Here is a 25,196-nt window from a genome sequence, read left to right as displayed (position 1 = left end):
GTGATCTTGGTTCCTCTTTCTGGGTTTGGGCTGGCCCACCCCCCTTCACCTTGTCCTTCTCAGGGCAGCAACAGGTTCTTGTGGTCTAATGACCCCTATTGATGGAGGGGTCACTGGCTTCCAATTCTTTGGGGCTGAAAATGTCCCATCAATATTTTGGCCCTCCAAGGAGAAATGAGGGGTTCTCTCAGAGTCAATTAAATTAGATTAAAGATCACTTGGAATTACATACCCTGTGTAGTCCTGAAGGCGCTTCCCAGGAAGCTTAACTCAGAAAGGGATAGGATTTGACATTCTCTTTAAGCGAAGCTGACTGATATCTGCTTTAAGAAAGAATATAGCACAGTAGCAGGCACTCCATCCTCCCCCAGCTCTACCAAAATGCTGCTCTCTTGAGCCCTGGGACTCTGCAAGAGCAGATATTGGTAAGAAGCTCATCCTTGGCTGGAGGCCCCAGGAAGAGGAAGCTTGGAATTTCTCCAGAGGAAACAGTCCCACATGGTGGGCCTCTCTACATTCTAGGGGTCGGCTCTGTGATTTTCACACACAAAGAAGCCTTGAAGGGCAATTCCCAAACCTGACAGTTCCTCTTTCCATTTCACAGAAATCAAGGAATCTCAGCTATTGTACCTAAGACCAACTTAAACGGGAAGCAAATGATCTGTCATGTCTTTGGGTCTAAGCATTGGTGGCCTTTTTTGGGTTTCTTTAATCTGTACTTAATGTCTAAATGTTTCCCTTTGTATCTTGGGGCACTTGGGGAGGGGTGGGAATGCTAGTGGAGTATGATTAGTGGTTTAGCGTCTTCTTGTCCATTTTAACCACCACACTGCATCCTTTTGTGTTTGTGGAACCTGCCATCATTCTCTGCATTTGTGAGGGAGGAGGACCAGAGGGACCTGCCGTGAGAGGCAGAGCAATTGGAGGGTGGGGACAGACTGGCAGGCATTCCATTAGCCCCAGCCCATTCTCAGAGTATACTGCAAAGAGATCAGATCACCTATTATTTCTTCCCAGGAAATGTTCTGCTCTCTTGAGAGTGGGAATATTTGGAAGCATTCTCTCCACCCACTCTTTGGAAATGGTGACCAAACTGGACTTTTCCCTCCTCTCAAAATATATGGGAGAGAGCATGATTGTCCCGGGAATGATCTAGCAGATTTTTCAAGTTTTATGAGATTATGTGAAAGTTTCTAATCTCAGTATCAGAAGCCTTGAGCTACCATGCTCTTTGCTTTTGACATCCTCTCTATCAGGTGTCCTGGGAGCCAGATGTCAGAGCTGAACAGATGGGGAAGTTTCCCACAAAACAGCCAACCACTGTTCCTGGGTAACACAGTCTCTATTGCTGTAAAGAAGACCTCTTGAAGGTTAAACTTGATGTTTTAAAAGGTCAGACTTGAGTGTCTACCTGTTCTAATACAGATGTTTCAGACTCAGCAAGTTCATTCACAAAAACCCTGAGTCTAGCTCAGAGCTAGAATATAATAAGAAATCAGAGAATGTTGGTGAACTTAGCTGAATTTGAGCTTTCTCCTCTGTTGGGACTTTGGGGATGTGAATTCAAAAGATCAGCAATGACTTCAGCATCTTTGTCATATTCCAAAAGATAGCTTCACACATACCTAACTCAGGCGTGGGTTGGAGAATGCACTGATTGAACTTTTGTAGTTTTAATCTGCCTTGGGACTGGATTAAGAGTGAGGAGGACTCAATTTATGTCCCAATCCTGCTGTGTAACTAAATAATTTACTTACCCTCTCTGAGTCACACAGAGTCACTGTGAGGCTCAAATGAGATAATGTATGTTAAATCCCTTTATTAATTGTAAATCACTATACAATAAGACAATAGTGTGGTTATTATTATTAACGCAATTAATTTGCAACGGATGCATGAAGGAAAGTAATTTCTATTACAAACCAGAGGTTAAAAAAATCAAATCCCCATATAATCTTGTAAGCTTGAATCAAATTGCAATTTAAATCTATACAGGTACATGACTAAAGAGTATAATATTATTATTAAATATCTTTATTACTTTAAAATATCTATTATTTGAAAACTAAGCATAAATGTGCTATGGTGCCATGTGACACTAGAATTAACGTAGGACTTTGAGGTAAAGTTAACATGATTGTGAGAAACCCAGACAGGTTTCAAGTGAACTGGGCAACTACCTTACAGCTTCTATTCTGCATTGCTCTTCCTGGGACCACAGGGTCTCTTAGCTCCACTTTTCCCCACTTATCTGCTCCATTCTCAATTCAATGGATAGGCTTGCACTGCCAGATTTTCGATTCTGGTTCTCAGAATCTTTACTTATTTGTCCCCATGGCATTAAATCTGGTGTCATCTCTACATTACCATTTTTCAACACTGCCTGAATAACATATCCCTGTGAGAGACATCCTAGTTGGCTTAGTGTAGGTCACACAGATACCAGTCCAAATGGCTGTAGCTGCAGGTGTCATGTGTAACTTGAGCTGCATCTTCCAGGCTATGGGCCGGGTAATGACTTTCAAAAGAGGGTGAGAGGGGCTGGAAGAAAATAGGAAACTGCCCTTGATTTCCACTGGAAACACCATTGGCCTTTCTATTCTTGCAAGCTGTGTTGCTTACATCACAGTTTAGTGCTTCATTATTTCATTTGCCCCTTCCCAATTAATCTGTAAGGTCCTCAGGACAGGAGGCATGGCTCGTTCTAGTCTATTCTGAATGAGTCCGACATTCAGAACCACGATGGACACACTGTAAGTATTCAGTGAAGCCTTGTTGGTTGTTATAAGGTAATTGTCATCCTTCACATGCATATAGCACTTTACAGTACACACGGCACATTCCCATATATTGACCCATTTGACCTCATTAAAATCCTGAATCATTATGACCTTCACTTTACCAGTGAAGCAAAAGCAAGGCACAAGGATAATAAGTGACAGGACTCGCATCTAATTTTACACAGTGTTCTAGGTGCCTCTAGAATATCTAAGAGAAGATGTCGAGGAGCTAGTTAAATCTGTACTCTAGAGAGAAGAGTAGCCTAGAAATATATATTTGGGTATCATGTGAGTATGCATTACATCTGCATAAATACAATGGCAGTGAATGATATATCCAGGGATCTGTGTGTAAAGTAGAATAAAAGCTAGCCCAGAACAGATGCCTGAGAAACACTAACATTTACTGATTAGCAGAAGAAGGGAGCCCATAAGGAGACATAGAGAAAGCATCCCAAGAAGCAGCAGAAGAAAACCAGGATGGGTGGTGTTTTGCATGACCCGGGGGAAGAGAACTTCTCAAAAAGAGTAATCAACAGAATCAAATGCTTTCAAGAGGCCAAATGAGATAAGAACTAGAAAATTCTCTTGGCTGACCAGCTGCGGGTGGCTCACACAGGTAATCCCAGCATTTTGGGAGGCCAAGGCTGGTGGATCACTTGAGGCCAGGAGTTCGAGACCAGTCTAGGCAACATGGAGAAACCCCATCTCTAGTAAAAATTCAAAAAAATTAGCTGGACGTGATGGCACATACCTGTAATCTCAGCTACTTGGGAGGCTGAGGCACAAGAATCGCTTGAACCCAGGAGGTGGAGGTATCAGTGAGCCGAGATTGTGCCACTGCACTCCAGCCTGGGCGACAGACGGAGACTGTCTCATAAAAATAATAATAATAATAGAAAGAAAGAAAGAAAATGCCCTTGGCATTTGCAACAGGGAGATCATCAGTAACTTTTATCAGGGGAGTGTCAGATTAGAGGCAGGGATGTAAACCAAACATCAATAAGATAGAGAGGGAATGGGAGGTAAAAAGAGGAAACAGTGAGTTCAGCCAATTCTTTTAAGAAGTTTGGCTGTGAAGGTGGAGGATAAGATACAACCGCAGGTAAGGATTCAGTGAATATTTAGTTTTTTTTTAACGTGGGAGAAATTTGAAGGTATTTAAAGCCTGAAGGAGCCCGAGGGAAGTATTTCCCAGGGAAATACTTTACCCGATTTAGCAGAAGGGAAGGGAGAAAGGATGAATGTAGATGCCAATAAGTTTGTTTGGGCCAGTGTAGGTACTGAAAATGTTTTTTTATTTTCTCTGTCTAAATTCAAAGCAAGGACATTTCTTAAGAGTAAGGGAGGTGATGGGCTCAGGAGAGTAGAGATGGTTTGGTTCTATTTATGAAAGTACCCACTGACATCCCCACATACCCACATCCTGTTGCCCAGTCATTGCTTGTCCTTTTATTTACTCTCACATTAACTCATCCATTCATTCAACAACTGTTGAATGAAAATCTGTGTGGCAGGCTGTGGGAAATGCACTGGGGGTACAGAGGTAAAAAGCACATCGGGTAGGCATGAGATGACTGTCTGTGGCTACACAGGAAGGTAAATTTTATTTGACCCATAATAGGACGGGCCCAGTTACTGTAGTCCCTGGAATTAGCACATTAACAAAGCAAGCCACACGGCTACATCCTGATTAATCTGATTATTAAACAGATACATTTCATGATTCATGGGATTACAGTCATCCATTCTCAACCCCTACAGAGCCTAAAATCTCTCTCTTCCAGCATATGGCTCTACTTGAGTTTCTGGCACAAATCCTGTGACCTCCTCTGGAAGAGAACGCTAATTGTCCCCCAGTATCCATCTCCCTTTCTTCCATGGTAAGTGAATGTAGCTAGGTCCATAGCTAACTCAAGTAAAGAATACTTTCCCTAACCCCCTTCATGATTAGGTATAGCCCTGTGACTAAATTCAGGCCAGTGGAAAGTAACAGAAAGTGAAGCAGGTCATTTCCAGGTTAGTCCTTAAAGGGCAAGGGCATGCCCTGCTTTTCACCTTTTCCCTTCTGCTGGCTGGAATGAGGGCAAGGTGGCTGCGAGCTTATGATGTGGATGCCACAGAGGAGGGAGAGTGGAGCAATCTTATGGAAAGAGCCTGGGTCTCCTTGGTGAGTTCTTCATTTATAACTCAGGACTTTAGAAATAGCTGAACCTCCATGTAGATGGAGCAGTAGACTTAGCTAAGGGGATTTAAGAGCCATAAAAGATGAGAAAATGGTTGAGAATTTATGATGCAATTTGGAACAATGGCGGCCAAGAGTCTTTCATCCCTACAAGTGGGGAGTTTCAGCAGGAAGGTAAAGGAGTTGTGCTAGGTGTCTTCACACCTATAATTTCCTTTATTCCTCACACCAACCTTATGGAATGCATACTATTATCTCCATTCTACAGATTTTGAAAACCAAAGAGATAAGAGGTACCCAAACATGCAGTTATTGCACAGCAGAGCTGGAGTATGCACTTCTTTCTGCAGAGTGCTTGGCTCTGTTTTTTCTCTTTCACTATGAGACTTGCTCTTGCTCATGTGAGGGGGCCCCAGGCTGCAAGGAGAGCAGACACTTTCATCAGCTTTGTGGCTTAGACGGAATGAAAAGTCCCTCTTTCCTGCCAGACCACAACGTCCTGTGGCCCTGTGCCCATCAGGCACTGCCACCTTTGAGCCCCTGTGTGTACAGTGGTGATAGGGCTGAAGGGAGGGGAAGAGAAGAGAAATGCCCCCAGGCCAAGACCCTTTACAATGGAACCAGGTGCTATAAATTTCTCCAAATGCACCACCGCTCTCCACACATGCACATCTGGAATGCCGCATAACCCCTTCCCTCTCCAACCCCCTCTGCAACAATGACTTCCTGGAGCATTTTAATGACTCACCATTGTAAATAATATACTCTACCCTTTCTTGTAAAAAAAAAAAAAAGCTGGAAGTTTCTGCAAAACCAGCAAATTACTCCAAATTATAATTTCATCGAAAACACTGGGAAAAAAAACAACAACACCTTCATAGCCTGAGGTAGGAAAGGTTCAGGAGATTTATGTCTTTCCTTGAACATGTAGATTTATAACAGTGGATAATGTACATTCATTTCATCCATATTTATACCTGAATTGATGCAGAGTCTGGTATCCATTACTTTAATCTATGTAACTTGATCATCAGAAATCTGAACCATAATTTTAACACGTATTACAAAGAGTTTCTTTTGGGCTTAAAGGAAAATGACGGCAGAGAAGAAAAGCCATTAAGACCCAGCTGCAGTCACTTATTCCTGCTGCACTTCCTTCTGCAATATGTGTGGGTCTCCCTCCCCATTTCTCATCCCATACCTTCCTGGACACACACTGGCTCCCTCACTCAACCTCCAGCACTAACTGTGCTGAGACTGGAAAGGAGAGAGAAATGATGGGCAGGGCAATTCCAGGGAATTCATGGAAATAAATCTCTGAGATTCCTGCCAAACCAGAGCTCACACAGAGGCGGTAGAAATGGGCAAGTAGTAGCCTCTAGTCACTTAGTTGAAGTGAAAAAATGCAGAGTCTGATCAAAGCTTCTCTCTGACAGACAGTAGAAATTAAACCCAGACACCAGTTCTCAAAAAGCATGGCTGGCACAGAGCACATGTTCCTGTCCAACTTCTGAGCATCAAACATTAGCCTAGCTCAAAACTCCAAATTCCTGTCCTGGACTAAAGCCAAGTGGTGGGTTTTTGAGGGATCTGGGACCCAGAATTATATTAGGTGGAAGATGAAGAATGCAAGACCCGGGACCTCACTGTAGTAGGTGCATGTCAGAGAACTCTCTTGGGCTGACATCCTGGGATTTCCTAAAGCCATAAAAGCACCACGAGGGCAAGTCATTTTGTTCACTTGCATGGTCAAGGCTGGCACTTAGTAGGTGCTTGATAAATTTTGTTGAATGAAGGTCTTTGTTACAAACCATTCCAGAGCTATAAACTGTAGTGTGAGTAGATACAGTACAATACTGAAGATGAAACCAATGGGGTTTTATGACATTAAGAGTACTATTAGGAGTAATATGCAATCAAATTTATTATGGCTTTCTGTTCTTTTCTCTTCCAAATTTTCTTCCATTCTTTATCGTGTGTGTCACCAGAATGTTTCATATTTTATAAATATTTCGAGATTTGAAAGCATGATGCTATTTAATGTTCATAGCAATCCTGGGACACAGTTGTAACAAACAATTCCCATTTCACAGATGAGGACACTGAGAAGCAGAGTTTCCATAACCTGCCTGTGTTCCCCACCAGGCTTTCAGCACTGCTGTCTCCCGATTCCCATGTTCTTTCCTCTACACTGTGCCACAGTGGTGTGTTCTTGGCAGGGGTAAAGGGCAGAGTAAATAGAGAGGGCATTTTAGGAGTGCCTGGAAACAGCTGATCTGGCCCCAATTAGCATCCTGGAAGAGATCACCAACCCACAAATCACTAGGTTTGCTAAGTACTGTTCTCTAGAGCCTCCTGAGGATAGTGTTAGATTTGACACTCTCAAGGGAACAGATTCCAGCTGTCTGATCCTTGAAATCAGATAAAACAATAATTTCGCCTTATATTTTTCTGATAAAAACTGATGTTTAAGAAAGAAAATCTACCTCTAAAAAGGGGACTGAGATAACTTTTGTTTCATTAGTATTAATTTTTTACTACAGGAATGTGTATATATATATATGTGTGTGTGTGTGTGTGTGTAATATATGTACATATATAGTATATCTATGTATATATGATACATTTAACATATACTTTAAAATAAACATAATTATGTATTTAATATATAAACATACAAATAATAATAAATGTCTTTAAAAATTATAACCTAAATAAATGATTATTATCTTTTAGCAGGGGAAGACCTCCAACTATAATCTATCCACACAACTATAATCTATCCTGTAAACAACTGGGCTTCTTGAGAAACCCCCATGAAGGGAAACTGAAGTTTTTCACATAACATGATACAGGCACAATCGGAGGCATGCAGTGAACGTTCATAATGGCCAGCCCTACCATTTCAAAAGCATCACTTCCATTTGAAGAAAACGATGCTAAGGGTCAGAGAAGTTTTATCTTGACTGAGATTCCACATACGTTAAGTGCATATGTTGGGATTTGAGCCTAGGTCTGAGTGGTTTATAGCCCATGGCCTATCCAATCCGTTTTCACTATTAACATGTTTCTACCAGTTGCATTTGGAAAACAGGAGACTCTGAATCCTGAATAACGTAAAAAAGAAAATTTATTTAGGTGTTACCCTTAAATGGCTTCTTCAAAAATTCACCCGTTATCTCCCCAATCAGATGTGAGCTTTACCTCTTTTGAAACCAAAACTATTACTTTATTTCAAATTTATGGAAATCCTTCACCCTCATATTACTTGTTTCAGGTACTAACCCTGTAAGAGAGGCACTGAAGATAGAATGCTGCTATCACTCCAACACCATTAGACAGATGAAAGGCCAGTGACTTAGCCAAGATCACACAGAGAAAGGGCTCACCCATGTACTAATTCTGTGGTCTGAACTGCAACCCTACGCCCCTGGTTTCAAGAACTGTGCTACTTTCAACTTATTGAAATGGAAAGGAAGATAGAATGTGTTACATTTCTCTTAATCATTTTTATGTGACTCTTATGGGCTAATGAAACAGCAAGATTCTATTGTGCATTTACACTGTGCCCAGAATTGAGCAAGGAAATTAGATGACAAAGAACCATGAACCAAAGCCTCTGCCCTCAAGGGCTTAACAACTGAGTGAGGAGGCATAACTGAAAACACTTGCATTATTTGGGCAGCAAGTGGCCTGTTGCACTCTTAAATGTCCGTGAAGCCAACCAGCTTTCCCATGTCTCTGTGTTTCCAAAGGCGTGGCCCAGTATCTGGTGTTCAGCAGGCCAGAGCTCCTGCACACAGCTGTGCTCAAGCTATACACCTGCTGGAAACCTGTAAAACCATGGACATCTGGCCAAACCAAAGCCCTGAGCAACTCCCTCTCTTCTATTTTCACAACCACTGACTTTCCACTTTATTCTTCCATTCCATTAGTTGGATTTGGACTTGACCCATATTACTACAAAAATAGCATTTGTCAAGTCATGACTGCAGGCCAGGCATTGTGCTAGATATTTTACGCTTGCTCTCTCAAATCCCGTAACACTTACGGATGGGAAAGAGAATTGTGGTCCCTCTTTTACTAACAAGGAAATGAAGGCTGAAGGCAAAGTTAAGGAAATTGCCTGAGGACACGGCCTACAATCTGAGCCTGAAAGTTAGCAGTGAAGTGCAGAAAACCTCAAATAAGAAGGACTGGTTTAGTATGCTCATGGTCAAAAACAAAAAAATTTCATAAAACCATCTTGCTTTCCTCAACATGCCAGTGATCTGACATAAATCTAAAGATGGATCTCAAATTAGAACATACTTTGAGACACATGGGCCCAGAAAAACATACAATAGGAAACTAAGCATTTTTTGTTTATGTTACTAGAGGAAGATTTTAAAAATCTCTTCAGTAGCTTTCAACTACTCAGTTTTAGCAAAATAACTTCCATTACATGCATTTACCATGTGCTGGACTCTACATGTAAAACTTCACTGACATATAACTGCTCACTTTGCAGGAGTTTTTGATGTATATATACATATATTAATATTTTATAGATATAAATATACAGATGTGCATGCACATTTAATATGCAGGCCAACTGAATTGAGCTTAACCTTGAAATGATAGAAATAGTGTTTGAACCCAACTTTCTTGACTCCAAACACTGTGGAGGTTCCATCCACTAAATCATTGCTTCTCAACTTTGGTAGCACATTGGAATCACGTGGGAGTTGATAAATTTCTGATTCCTGGGTCTCACACCCAGAGATTCTCACATGATTGCCTGGGGTGTGCTCCAGCTGAGAATTTTTAAAAGCTCCCCAGCTGATTCTAGTACACTCCAATGTTGAGAACCACAGGTTCACACCATAACTCCACTTATTAGTCTCTTACTGCTGCCATGACAAATTACCACACACTTACTGGCACAAAACAACGCACAGTGATTTTCTTAGTTTCTGTATTCAGAAGTTCCAAATGGGTCTCATTGAGCTAAAATCAAGGTGTCACAGGGCTATGTCCCTTTCTGGGGTTCTGGAGGAAGAATCCACTTCTTACCCTTTTCAGCTTTGAGAGGCTGCTGCATTGCTTGGTGTGTTAGTCAATTCTGCTATAAAGAACTACCTGAGACTGAGTAATTTCTGAAGGAAAGAGGTTTAATTGACTCACAGTTCTGCAGGCTGTACAGGAAGCATGGCTGGGAGGCCTCAGGAAACTTAAAATCATGGCGGGAAGGCAAAGGGGAAGCAAGCACGTCTTACCATGGCAGAGCAGGAGAGAGAGAACGAAGCGGAAATTGCTACACACTTTTAAACAACCAGATCTTGTAAGAACTCCATCACGAGAAAAACAAGGGGTAAGTCTGCCCCCATGATTCAATCACTTCCCACCAGACCCGCTCCTTCAACATGTGGGGACTACAGTTCAACATGAGATTTACGTAGAGACACAGAGCCATATCCCTTGGCTTGTGACGCTCTACCTCTATCTTCAAAGCCAACAACAGCAGGTGGACTTCCTCTCACATAGCATCACTCTGACCTCTTCTCCTACCTTCCTTTCTACATTTAAGGACCCTCATGATTCTACTGGGCCCACCCAGGTTATCCAGGATAATGTCCCTCTTTTAAGGTCAGATGATAAGCAACTTGAATTATATCTGCTACCTAATTCCCTTTTGCCATGTAAGGTAACATATTCACAGGTTCCAGGGATTAGGACATGAACATCTTCAGGGGCCATAATTGTGCCTACCACAGTTGCAATTTTAAATAAAAAAAAATCAGAATTTCCCTTCTATTGCACCTGCTCACTGTGGGTGAAGACAGCAAGCGGTGTGTCCTTTTACAGGAGAGTCAAGTCGTAGCTACTGGGTATATGAAAACATCTCCCTTCTGTTCCTCTCGTGCTCCTTTCCCACTAGTAAGAAGAGCAGTGAGAGCCTGTCATTCTCTGGGCTTCCCACAGCTGCTGTCACACCACTTGAAAATACAGCCCAGGTGACCAGCGTTCCCAATCCATCCCGAGACAAGGCAATATGTGAGCTGCCATATGCTCTGGTGGGTTCTGGCTGACACTGAGCAGGTGTATGGCATCCGGGCCAAGCATCTGGAGGGCGGCAGACTCACAGAGGGGAGGTACCGTTTTCAATTTACCGAAGGAAGACCTAGGAAATAACAGAGGGCCGGGTGTATTTGTGTCTCTCTTTCTCTAGCTCTCTCTCTCTTTCCAATCATTTCTTAAGAAATAGAGGCTGGTTCTGGTTTTCATTCTGAAAATCCAGGGAAACACTTTGAATATATTGCTGGTGCTGATTTAAAAATTATTCTCTGAGTTCTCCAACATTCAGAATCCATCAATTATCAAGATGCAGAAGCTTCCAAATATTTATAATGACAGCACTATCATTATGCTAAGCTATTATGACAGGAAGGGGAGGAGAGTAGTTTAACCTCCATCAAGGTGTATGTGTCTGGGTGTGTTTGTTTTCTGTACATTAATTTAGGATTCCCATAACAAGTTTGTAATGTACAGTTACGTCTAAATGACAATTTCTTACTCGTGGAGATTATTATGCTTACAAACCTGAGCATTTTTATTTCTAAACATCTACAAATGACTTTTAAAATTATATATATCACATATGATGCCTGGTCAGGGGAAGAGAGGAAAAGGAAAAGTTAAATGAATGATACCCTGTGCACAACCAGAGTTAACTGACACTGGCTCCGAAGAATTCATCTTAATCAATGTTATTGCCTCAGTTCCCATAAAAATGAGTGATTGGGACACATAAAATACACTATCAACTTTTACCAAAACTAAGCAGTTTAGACCATTTATTTCCATAAAACAGCACTGTGCATCATATGTCAACCCAATGCATTTTCTGTGTGACTGACTTCGAAGACTGTGTGGGTTGACAATCTAAGTTCTAATTATTTGCACCCTCCTGTCTGTTCTTGCACAACACGGGGCTCTCCCAGAGGAGTGTCAGAAAGGACATTACATGGGCTGACGGGAAGCAGCTGAAAAAGATCCACTGGGCTTTTTCATGCAGATGATGCACGGAGCAGAGAGGAACCAAAGGGGATCGAAGAACCCTGATTGGAAAGTTCGAGTGTGTTCCATCTGTTACTGCTCTAGTCTTTTCATTAATGCTGTGTAAAGGCAAGCAGAGTCACAGCTGGTGAAAACATAGCGGCCTGACAGGCCCAAAGCCTGCATCTCCTTTCCCCTGGCAGGACCAGATATTTGTAGGGACCTGCAACTGTCCCCCTTAATTTCAGGTCAAAAGGTAGTTAAGCTCTCTTGTGTGGCAGGGGAATAAGCTTAACCTTGGTTGATCCAATGGCCTTTGGTTTCTATCACAGCCCTTCCACTTTTTCACAGTGGGTCCACCAGAGCATTAGCTACACTAAAGGTCAGCATCATCATCTGTAAAAAATGGAAATGTAATAATGTTAAATTCCAGTGCTATAGTGAGGCATACCTATGAGACTTCAGTAAATACTGCTTGTTCTTTTTTCTTTCACATTCTCTCTGCTTCATATGGATAAAGCAGTAAAAATTAAAAAAAAATTTAATGAAGCAGCCAGTTTTATACTTCTGATGATTTAAAAAATGAAACATGCAAATAAGAGTTGGACTAGAGCCTTCCAATGGATTCAATCTTTAATCTACGTGTCTCTTCATGGTTTAGAGAGCACCGATCTAGAGGCAGACTGTCCGGATTGGAATTCTAGTTCTAGCACTTACTAGCTGTCTAATCGTGAACAAGTAATTGAAACCTCAGTTTCACGATCTCTAACATGAAGATAATTGTACCCACTTCATAGGGTTGTCATGAGGATCAGGCAAGTTAATATATGCAAAGCATTTAGAATAGTGCTTGCCACATAGTGTTTGTTTGTTCAAATATTTTAGTGTTATTGTCCTCACCTTTGCTCCTCATGTGGGCAGTTCATTCATTCCCATTGAAAGGCGACTGTTAGGAGCAAGAAGATAAAAGAAGAATCTCTTCCTGGCTTTTGGGTTTCTAATGCCTTCTTCTTGGGGAAATAGAAATAATTCAGGATGAGTACAATTATGAATCTGAACAAGACTTCCTGTCTCTGAGACTAGAACAGAGTTTCTGCAGCTGGGAATAAGGACATTTGGAGGTACAGGTAGGTATAATATATCGGCAGTCGCCTAAAATATGTCCCGCTGGCTGACTTCACTGACCCTGTGTGGGGCTGAAGCCCAGTCGGGAAAAGGATGATATGGACCCCTAGGTGTGTTTGTGAAATGCAGGAGCAGAGGAGACTTGTGCTTCCTTTATAAGCAAGAGTCCCTGGGAGGACCAACCCCCCCCTAAAATAATGACTGTGCTGTGCATTCAGGAAGATAGGGCTTGGAGAGCCTGACAGAAATTTTCCATACCACAGCCTCATGTGGGCAGAATGATTCACTTGCACCCAAGAGGGAGACACAATTATCAGCTGGAAAAGTCAGAAGTGAAGAAGGCTTAAGTACTGAAAAAAGGGATAACTTTGGTGATCCCTGTGCACTAAAGATCATGGATCATATGGCATGATGGATGTTTCAACAGATGTCAGCATGGACAGATGACACTGAAGACCAGATGCCTCCTAATCCCAGAGGAGAGCAACATGGCAACTCCCCTGAACTTGGATGCACCTCAGGAAAAGGGTGGTAATCCTCAACGGACTGAGATTAAGTTTCTGCATATCTCTACTATTGGGGAAATGGAGCTTTTAAATATAAACTAGGTTCAATTTCAGAAAAGTTTTGAAAAACTGCTTTCCCTTACACGTCGGAGTTTATAGACCAAGACTCATACCCATTACATGTAAAAGGATTTGTGAAAATATATTTAAATAACTGGATAAACTTAAAAATATTTAAGAACTATGCACATGTAGAATTTAGTAATCCCACAGATTGGAACACATTTTTAAATACCATATTATGTAATAGTTCAAATACATAGTACAAAGAAATAGAATGAATCCCCACAAACCCATCTCCCATCATCAATAATTATCAATTCAGGCCCAATCTTGCTTTGTCAATCCTCCCCAGTAACTCCAATCTCCAAATGTCTCGATTATTTTGAACCATCCCAGACATCTTATTGTTTCATTAGTTCAGTAAGTACCCCTAAAAATAAGAATTTTTGAAAGAACATAACCATAATACTGTCATTAATTCCCATAAACATTTATATTAATCCCCATAAATATTTGACACTGCCTGGATATTTAGTATCATCAAATATCCAGGCAGTGTCAAATATTTAATATTGTCAAATATCCAGGCAGTGTCAACTATTCCTAATTTTTAATAAATTTGTTTTTATTATATTTTTTAACTTTTTTTTCAAATCAGGATCCATTTTTATAGTTTCTTAGGTCTATTTTAATCTAAAGCTTCTCCCTCTTTTTTTTTTTTTAATCAAATAGTTGAAGAAATCAAGTCACTGGGGCTGTCCCATAGCATTTTTTTTACATTCTGGATTTTGTTGATTGTGACCCTATGGTAATATTTAATATGTCCTTCTGCACCTGTATATCTCATAATCTAATAATTATACCCAGAACTGGATCTGACTTAGGTCAATGTTTTAGTTTAAAAAACCTTCACAGATGGTGTTTCGTAATTCCAACAAGAGACCATAGTGTCCACTTTTCTCTCTTTTTGTGATGTTAGGAGTTATTAATTATCATTACCTAGATCCACCGTTTTATTAGGGGCTTGAAAAATGGTGATCTTCTAATTCTTTTCGCCTTCATGTGTTACTTGGGATACTTTTATAAAAATAAGCTTTCCTTCATCAAATATTTGGTTAACCTGAGATTGTATAGAAAAGCAGGTGGAATTCTTGATTCTCTATTTACCAGTGTATTAGTTTATTTTCATGCAACTGACAAAGACATACCCAAGACTAGGCCATTTACAAAAGAAAGAGATTTAATTGGACTTACAGTTCCACATGGCTGGGGAGGCCTCATAATTATGGCAGAAGGCAAAGAGGAGCAAGTCACATCTTACGATCTTACGTGGATGGCAGCAGGTGAAAAAAAGCTTGTGCAAGGAAACTCCACCTTATACAGCCATCAGATCTCATAAGACTTATTCACTATCACGGGAACAGGGCAAGAAAGACCTTTCCCCATAATTCAATCACCTATGACCGGTCCCTCCCACAAAATGTGGGAATTCAAGATGAGATTTGGGTGGGGACACAGCAAAACCATATCAACCTGTTTTCAGAAAAATGAAAAGTTGTTTTTTAGCATACTCCAAAAGTTACCAATGACTTTTTTTCTCTTTAAACATCATTGTAGTGTCACTGATTTTTCACTTTTGATGTATTTCTATTTTTACATGTATTATTCCTATAGATGCTCAAATTGCTTCATCTTGGTCCAGTGGTAATCACTTTACATTGACCTCTTAGTCTTTCATGGCCCCAATAGTTTCTGAGAGCTTCTTTACTTCCTGGTATGATAAAGTGTTGCCAGCACATTTTGTACATTTCTTGTCATAGAGCTGAAATCAGTTATTTCTCCAAGCAGCCCTGGCTCCTCTAGGAAGAAAAGATATTTAGAGAACATAATTTGGGTACTGATAGTGTCTCTTGCTACTAGATTGGTTATTATTTTTGTCTTTTCAGTGTACAAAGCTATATGTCATGAATACAACTGATATTTCCAGTTCAAATGGCAACTTACAGAGGCTTTATTTAACTTCTTTGATTTTATAATTATATCTCTTTTTGTCCTATGCTAAAAGTCTTAGGTCCTAATGACAGTAATTAAAGTACTATTGCTTTATTGTATTATAGTGCATTAAATATATATCATAAATTATATGCATAATACTTTTAGAATAACAATGTCAACATTATTGGTCACAATATCATCCTAAAAAATAGTTCAAGATTTTCTTTTTGCAGCCTTTTTTTCTTTTTTTTTTTTTGTCCTTAGGATACTTCCTGCTAAAGATGTACACAGACAGGTTAACTCTGGTTTTTTTTTTTTTTTTTTTTTTGAGACGGAGTCTCGCTCTGTCTCCCAGGCTGGAGTGGCGCGATCTCGGCTCACTGCAAGCTCTGCCTCCCGGGTTTCTCCTGCCTCAACTGGGACTACAGGCGCCCGCCACCACGCCCCGCTAATTTTTTTTTGTATTTTATAGTAGAGACGGAGTTTCACCGTGTTAGCCAGGACGGTCTCGATCTCCTGACCTCGTGATCCGCCCGCCTCGGCCTCCCAAAGTGCTGGGATTACAGGCATGAGCCACCGCTCCCGGCCAACTCTGTTTTAAAATCACTTGAAAATATTCCTTTCTTTAGGTTTTATCAACAAATCGATACCAAGTAAGTTTTTAAAAAATTGTCCTTCTGTTTTTGGGAAATGTATTTTTCATTTTAAAATTTTACTTTGTTTTATAATTGTGGAAACAAAGTTTATTTCCAAAATTCTAGCTTCTGTGCCCATCCTTTTTACCTTATTAGCTCTCCTTCTGTGTTTCACTTTCCAGTCTCATCTTCATCAGGTTGATATGAGGATGAATTGTGTGCACAGAAAGCAAACAGTCTATTTCTTAAATATTCAGTAAATGGTAGCTATCATTATGGGCAAGGCATATGATAGTTATTGTCTTTGAAGTTTCCAAACTTGAGTACTCTCTTCCATATTCCCTTGAGTGGTAATTTTTAGCTTTGATTGATCACTTGTTTGTACATCTGAGTAATCCAAAACTGCATCTTCAGAAACATTAAGCTTCTACTTCAGTGCAAATGTGTTATGGCATTCTTCTGGTCACATATAAATAAAGTTGGCAGGAAAACTGCAAAGGTGAAGAAGTCCAGCCTTTCATGTCAGAAAACCCTGGATTCAAATCTCAGATTTGGTATTTAGTAGCGTTTTGTAGGTTCAATCACTTGGCCTATCTGAGCTTTAATTCTTCACATGTATAATGGTAAAAATGATATCTGCTATTATTATTGCAAGAATTAGATGATCTGATGCCTGGAAAGCAACCCACATAGTACCTGGAACATAACTGGTGTTTTTAAAAAGCTTCTTTCACCTTTTTAGCTTAATCTATAGAAACCTTTTTTTTTTAGCTTAATCTATACTAATCATCTCAGCTGTAACTGAGAGCAGATAGGTCTGCCTTTGATTTACCAAATGCCTGCTTTGTTTGCTTCTTCCAGAGAATGTATTCCTGTACCAACTTCCATTCATTTTTGTGCTGCTGTACGCCTCCACATCTATTCTCCATTTTTCTGCACCATGCTCTGTGCCCTTAGACACTGACCTCTATGGAATGTATACTATCAAAGGGCTCCCATATCCTCTACTTTCTGTTCAGTTTGGTCAATGAGATTGCCAGCAGGAGACTGGAGAGTTCATCAGGGAAAGTATTCCTCTAGCTCCCTTCCTGTAGGGGTGCTACTCCTTGACTAGCTCCTCTCCTCTCTGGAAGTCCTGCACTGGCCCTTGTTGATTTCCCTAACTCTACCCACTCCTTTGTAAGTAGCCCCTTTATTAAACTCACTTCAATTTCCCAGTTTGAGTGGTGCCATCTGTTTACTGCTGGGACCCTGACTGGAAATTGATACAATTTCCAATCAAGAAAATAATTATGGGATTGTTAGTCTAATGGGCACATTTTGCCTCAATTCCTTCAGTTTTTCTAAAATCTTAAACTTTCTTTAAATAACTGGAAAACAAAATACCTGGACCACAGTAAATTATCCCCAAACAGCAAGTCACTCAATGAGTTTCGCTTTAACCTCTATACCCTCAGCTTTTAACTAAGGGTCAACACAGGAAAGGTTATATACTATCTCCATTCCTGTATCTTCAATAAATGCACTGTTAAAAACAGCATCCATTATCATAGCCAATGTCCCTGACGTGATAACATGGAAAGAGCACAAGATTTGGAGTGAAAAGGTGCGGGCTGGGGCTCCTGCTGTGTAATTTATTAATCACAAAATCGTATTTCTCTTAACTTCAATCTATCCTTCTGTAAAATAAGGCAAATATAGATTTGTGAGTAGTAATGGGGAAAAGAGAGTTTTTAAACCAAAGAGCTTTATAAATATTCATGCATAGTATGACTATATTAAATTTCTTTAAAAATTTAGCACAGGTAAAAGGTGGATTTTTTTTATTTCTTAATTTTATTATTATTATACTTTAAGTTTTAGGGTACATGTGCAAAATGTGCAGGTTAGTTACATATGTATACATGTGCCATGCTGGTGTGCTGCACCCATTAACTTGTCATTTAGCATTAGGTATATCTCCTAAAGCTATCCCTCCCCCCTCCCCCCACCCCACAACAGTCCCCAGAGTGTGATGTTCCCCTTCCTGTGTCCATGTGTTCTCATTGTTCAATTCCCACCTATGAGTGAGAATATGCGGTGTTTGGTTTTTTGTCCTTGCGATAGTTTACTGAGAATGATGATTTCCAATTTCATCCATGTCCCTACAAAGGACATGAACTCATCATTTTTTATGGCTGCATAGTATTCCATGGTGTATATGTGCCACATTTTCTTAATCCAGTCTATCATTGTTGGACATTTGGGTTGGTTCCAAGTCTTTGCTATTGTGAATAGTGCCGCAGTAAACATACATGTGCATGTGTCTTTATAGCAGCATGATTTATAGTTTTTTTTTGCTTGTTTTGCTAAAGAATTGCTGCGCTTTGTTTATCCTGTTGAAAAGGAGAATATGACTCACTGTGATTTTGTATATATTTCTGGTTTAATTTATAAGAAATGCATGATTAACTGTAATGTTTTATTATATGTTACTAGTATTTTCATACATTTTTTACTTTCTTCTATTTGATTTTCATTTATTCATATTTTGATAAAATTGTGGTACATGTATGTTTTATTTTAAGGCATGTAAGATTATTTTTTGGAAGAAGACGGAATCTAAACAAACAAGGCAACACATATTTAACACAAAGGAGAATTTGTTCATAATCTTACTTCCTTCTATTTGCAGACTCATTTGCCTTTCTGCAACATTCCTTCTTAATTCTATACTCAAGTAATGTTCAGAGTGACAGTTCAACCTCCTATGTTCATGATGCATTATTTGGAAATCAACAAGATTCACATTTACCTACCTATTAAAAATAGAGAAAAGATGTTTTATATATGTAAAACATATATAAAGATCTGTAAGGTATATACCTATAAGATCTGTAAGGTATATACCTATATCTAGATTTACATCTAGATATAAATAGAAATATAAATACCTTACAGTTTATTAACACCAGAATAAGAGGAAAAAGAAGAGAAAGAGAAGAAAGAAGAGAAGGAGAAGGAGGAGGAGGAGGAGAAGATATGTGGGAAGAAGGAAATTGCCATCTTCCTGGGAGCTCAAGAGAGCATTTTAACCTTTTCTCAATGTTATTTCCCAGGAAAAGGTAGAGAATTATTACCATCAGTACACACATTTCTTCCCATCAACATTCTTTTATTGGTTATTGTCTACCATGTGACTCTGTTCATAATTATTCTGTTCTTATTCTACAGAGAGAAGAGCTCAATTCAGATCTCTCTCGGCCAATCACCACTACTTTCAGGAGGCCACAGCCTTTCTCCAACCCGAATCCATGTCTGTGAAACTCCATCCCTTAATTTGCAAAGCAACAGGACAGGTGCTGGAAAACAAGCCTTATCTCTTAGAATAAAGTGCAATTACTGACCTATAGAACTATCACTTTGTTGTAGGCAAAAGAAAGATATTAAGTAAAGAAAAAGTGTAAATGTGTCTACTGTCAAAAAGAAATATACAACTATCTGAGATAGTTGTGCCTTCAAGTGGAGATGGAAGATTTTTACGTATACTCCCCAGGCTAAACAAAGATCTTATTTGTGCATGGTCAAGTATGATTTACCAAGGAAGGGGGCTCACTGTCCTATCTGAAACATCCTTTTAAAAGACACCTGCAGTACTATTATGCTACAAAATGCACCAGGTCATTAGGGGCTCTGTCAATCAAGTGACTGATTCCTCCAGATATGGCTGGTGAATAAAGAAGGCACTTTTCAGTTTCAGACTGAAAGTCACACTCCACCTGCTCCAAACCCTGGGGTTTTGAGAATATGAAAAGTTAACCTAATCTACTTCCATGCTAACAGAAACATTTGGTTCTCAAAGCCAGACTTAGGAATTCTTTTGTCCAAGCAGAAGTCAATTCTCAGGAATGTCTGAAAACTCTTCTGGATTCCTTTATCATTTAATCATAGGTTGGCTTAGAAAATATTGGTAGAGAAATATAGTAGCTAGTGCCATATTTAAAAATTAGTAAATAAAACTCTTACCTTTCTGAACAACTACAACTAAACGACCAAACCCTGAAAACTTTCTGATTACTTGCTCATCTTTTTAGTTTTTTCCTCCTAACATGTATTATTCGAAGTTTCACAGACAGCAAAGTCGAAAAATTCTACCATGAACACCAGAATACTAATCATCTAGATTCTATCATTAACCTTTACTAGACTTGTTTTTTATCACATTATCTATTTACTTATCCTTATATACATCCATCATTTTGCCTTATTTTTAAGGCATTTAGAAGCAAATTGCAGACATCTGACTGTTTCCCTCCAAATACTACACCATGCCCATCATTAACTGGAGTTTAATATTTGTTTGATAGTTACTTTCTTTGGATCTAAAATTTACATACACTGAAATGCACAAATCTTAACTCTACTTTTGATGAGTTTTGAGAATCCATATATCTGTTGTAACCCAAGCCCCTATGAGGATATAGAACATAATCATCCAGAAAGTTCTCTTTCCTCGCTTTTAGTCAATTGCTACCCATGCTACTTTCTAGGTAGTTACTCTCGTTCTAATTTTTTTTCTGTATACGTTAGATTTGCCTGTTCTAGAATATTATATAAATGGAATTATGCAACATGCATACTTTGTATAAGGCATCTCTCAGTTAGCAGAGTGTTCTGGAAATTCATCCAATTGATGCATGTACATATCAGTAACCTTTTCCATATTATTGTTTAGTAGTATGCCATTATATGACTATATCAATTTGTTTATCCATTTTCATATTGATTAGTATCTGGGGTCTCCAGTTTGTGCTATTATGACTAAAACTTCTATAAACATTTTTGTACAAGTTACTTTGTCTTAGGTAAATAACTAAGGTTGGAATTGCTGGGTCTTTGAGTACTTGGACATTTCATTTTATAAGAAACTTATAAGACCATTTTATACTCCCACAAGCATTGTATGAGGGTTCCTCTTGTTCCGTATATTCTCTAATAATTGTTATTATCAGTCATTGTAATTGAAACCATTCTCATGTGAATGGAGTGGTATCTCATTGTGGTTTCAATTTGTATTTCCCAGTTGACTAATGATGTTGATCAATTGTTCAAGTACTTCTTTTGTGAAATGTATAGTAAATTATTTTTCCCATTTTTTATTGGGTACTTTATGTTTTTATTATTGAATTGTAGGAATTCTTTGTTTTGGATATCTTTTGTCAGTTTTTTGCTTTGCAAACATTTTCCTTAACAATTTACTTTCCTAATATCTTTTGTTCAATGTGGAATACACATAAGAGTAGATATCATTGAATTATTCCTGATCTTAGGGAATGCATCTTGTATTAAATGTAAAGTTGGCTGTAGGCTTTCTAATGTGACCGTTATTACACTGAGGAAATTCCTTTTATTCCTAATTCAAGGCAAGATTTTTTCTTTAATCATAAGTGGATAATACATTTTGACTGCTTCTTAAAATAATTATGGAAAAGATAACTTTCTCTTTTATTCTGTAAATATAGTAAATTATATTCTTCATTGCCAAATGATAAAACTAGTCTTTCATTTTTGAGATAAACTTTACTTGATTGTGGTATATTTTTTAAGATATATACATGATTAGATTTCCTAATTTTTTAAAAGTATTTTTGGCTTAATTCCTATGAGGAATAGTTAATGGTAATTTACTTTTTCTGTAATATTTGTCAGATATTGGCCTTAGGGCTATACTCACCACATAAGACTAATGGGAAATATTTTCTTCTTTATTTTAATATAAGGTTACTTTTTAAAGTTTGATACAATTCACAAGCACAAACATCTGGGCCTAGAATCTATTTTATGGGAAGGATATTGATAATAGCTTAATTTTTTTTTTAACAAAATTGGGGATATTCAGATTCAGTGTCATTTACTGTCAGTTTTGGTAAGTTTAATTTTTTCAAGAAAACAATCCATTTCATCTAAGTTTTAAAATCTTTTGGCATAAAATTGTTCACATATTCTCTTATTATTTTTTAATGACTATCAGATATGTTTTGCTATTCTCTTATATTACTGATGTTAGTAATTTGTGTCCTTTCTCTTTTTTTTCCTGATCAATCTAGCTACGAGGTTATCAATTTTGACGCTCCTTTAAATAATCGATTTTTCTCTTTATTAATTTATTCCTCTTTCACTAATTTTCATCCTCTTTCTAATTTCTTGGAATATTTATTATTTCTGTAGAGATCACTAATTTAAACTTTCCTTCTTTTCTAATGTTAGCGTCTTTTAAAGTTATACATTTCCATCTAAGTATTGCTTTAACTGCATTTCACAAATTTCATGTTGTATTTTCAATATTATATTTAGTTCAAACTATTTTCAAATTGCCCGTGATTTCTTCCTTAATTCATGGACTATTAAACGCTGTGTTGTGAATTTTTTAATATCTAAAATTTTCCTGGTGTGAATGCTTTATAATGTGTCAACTTGGTTTGGCTCAACTGCATTTCCCAGAATTTCCTTTTTTGTACATTCCTGGTTATGGCGTGCTACAAGGGAGATTCTTAGGGGTAATTAGGAGGCTATAAGGAAAGCAACAGCTATTTTGTAGCTCACACAGGCTGTTACTAATCCACTGATTGACTTCATTGGTATGAAGCAGTAGCTGGACCTGCAATTGTTCTATTATCTCCTGGATCTTCCTTCAGCTTCTCTGACTCATGGGTCAGGTTTGTGTGTTTAGTTCAGTGATAAACAATCCTGGCTTCTATAATATTCTTTCATCACTATGACAGAGGCAGCAAGAATGGTCATAGGTTCTAGTCCATCTTTGTGGGGTTCCAGCTTATGCTTGTCTGTTTCAGCCTGTTTGTGATTCTCCCTTCCTGGCTGCCTGATCTTATGGACCTGAAGTTCCACCATTGGTTACAGAGATAATAACCTTACTGTGACCACTTAGCCAACTCTCACTATTATATTAGCCAATTCCCTATAACAAATATGATTGTGTGTGTATGTAATAATAGGTTTGTGTGTAGGTACATGTGTATGTTATATATATAATTTCTTATTGCTTGAACTGCAATTGATAACATCTGTTCTTAATAATTTTTAATTCAATTCCATTGTTATTAGATAATATATGGTATTCATGCTTTTACATTTGTTGAGGAATTTTCTGGCTCCGAATTTGGTCCACTTTTGTGAATGTACCATGAAGCATTGAAAAGACCATGTATTCACCAGGTGTTCAGTGTTGTGTCTTATAAACATCAACTATGTTAAGGGATTTGATTATATTGTACAGATCATTGATATCTTTACTGATTTTTTTGTTTGTCTAGTTGTTCTATTAGTTTCTCACAGTAAAGTGTTAAAATCTTTATTGCAGAATTATTTGTCCATATACATATGTTAATTTTTGCTTTATATATTTTGAAAATTTGTTTTTAAATACAAACACATAGATTATCCTTACATCTTCTAGCTATTTATTAGTTAATATATGTGACCAATAAAAAAATTTAAAATGACAGGCTCCATATGATCCCACAGAAACATCCTTCTGCTAGTGCTGCTTCCAAATATTTGAAGACTTGGTTTCAATAGGATACAGTAATTACATCTCTCTGTGATGGTTAGTTTTATGTGTCAACTTGGTTAGGCTGTATACAGTACCTAGTTATTCATTTAAACACTTATCTAGGTGTGGCTGTCAAGGTGTTTTATAGATGTTGTTAACATCTTCAGATAACTGACTCTAAGTAAAGAAGATTATCATCAATAATCTAGGTGGGCCTCATCAATCAGTTGAAAGGCATTAAGAGTAAAACTGAAGCTTCTCTGAAGAACTTCTACCTGTAGACTGCAACTTCAGCTCCTACCCAAGATTTGCTAGCCTGCCAGCCTGCCCTAAAAATGTGTCCACACTTAAATAGACATGTGTAGAAGGAACATATAGGATGGAGCCATTATCTTTGGCTGTAGACATTTGGGAAAAACTTCCAGGAGAGCTTAATTTGGAACCTGATGGGCTTTGAAGATTGTGGTGGTGTTTTTCAGGCAAAAGATGGTAGAAGGCAATTTACAACTAGACACTTACATATGCAAGACAAAGGGATGTGAAAAACCCTCTGTGTTGAGGGTGTTGAGGGGAAGAACACTACAGTGAGGCTGGAATCTAAGGACAGGATTAAAAGTGGCAAGAGATGGGAACAGAATGGTAGATTAAAGCTTGGTCATAAATGGCCTTGAAGGTCCTACGAAGAATTCTAATTTTTTTCCCATGGTTCTTAGCAAACCTTAGTTTTTGGAACAGGGTGTGGAATGACCAAATATATGTAAATGGATAATTTATGCAGATCTGGTCATATCATTCTGTTGCTTATGTAAATAGGTAATGGTTTGGCAGGGGCAGGTTAAGAGGTAAGGTTATCAATTAGGAGTCACACTGTTCATCACAGCATATGGGTTTGTAGTTTTGTCTGGATTTGTTTCCTCTAGATTCACTCTCAAGCCCTTTTGACCAGTTTGGTCTTCAACCAAAGCCCATCTACTCCATTTCTTAGAAATGCAGGACAATAGGTTGAGCCCAGAGCAACCAACAAGGCTAGATGAATACTATTCAGGTTAAGTTCAAATAGTAAACAGAGACAGTTCACGTCAAGTAGGTCCCAATGGTAGGTCTGTGCAAGGAAATTCCAGCATTTGGACAGGTCAAGGCAGGAGAGATAATGATGTTTGAGAGCAAGGCACACAAAAGCAACCTTTGATTCTAGAGCAAAGGCAGTTCATTTTCTGCCCTCTGTTATGCTCCCAGCTCTGCATGGTGAGAGCAAGGTTCAGGGGAATGTGTCTGCAGTTAGAATTTCTAAGTTGCACTTTGCCTTTTATTAAGAAAGGT

The 25,196-nt window shown here is 38.5% G+C and overlaps 1 long non-coding RNA gene across 2 annotated transcripts in view, besides 1 other annotated feature; it reads right to left on the bottom strand.

The window, feature by feature from the left end:
• Positions 1 to 25,196, bottom strand: part of LOC107987108 (uncharacterized) — a 675,821-nt gene that overhangs the window by 178,558 nt on the left and 472,067 nt on the right. The gene's annotated exons all lie outside the window — the stretch shown is intronic.
• Positions 5,395 to 5,474: an enhancer, noted in NCBI's record as "active region_28747". NCBI's record gives its function as "activates an Ori minimal core promoter by ATAC-STARR-seq in GM12878 lymphoblastoid cells {active_cell/tissue: GM12878}" and the evidence as "EXISTENCE:reporter gene assay evidence [ECO:0000049][PMID:35858748]".

Source organism: Homo sapiens, chromosome 9 (genome assembly GCF_000001405.40).
Source record: "Homo sapiens chromosome 9, GRCh38.p14 Primary Assembly".
NCBI classification, from domain to species: domain Eukaryota; kingdom Metazoa; phylum Chordata; class Mammalia; order Primates; family Hominidae; genus Homo; species Homo sapiens.
This window is presented reverse-complemented; position numbering and strand designations above follow the sequence as displayed.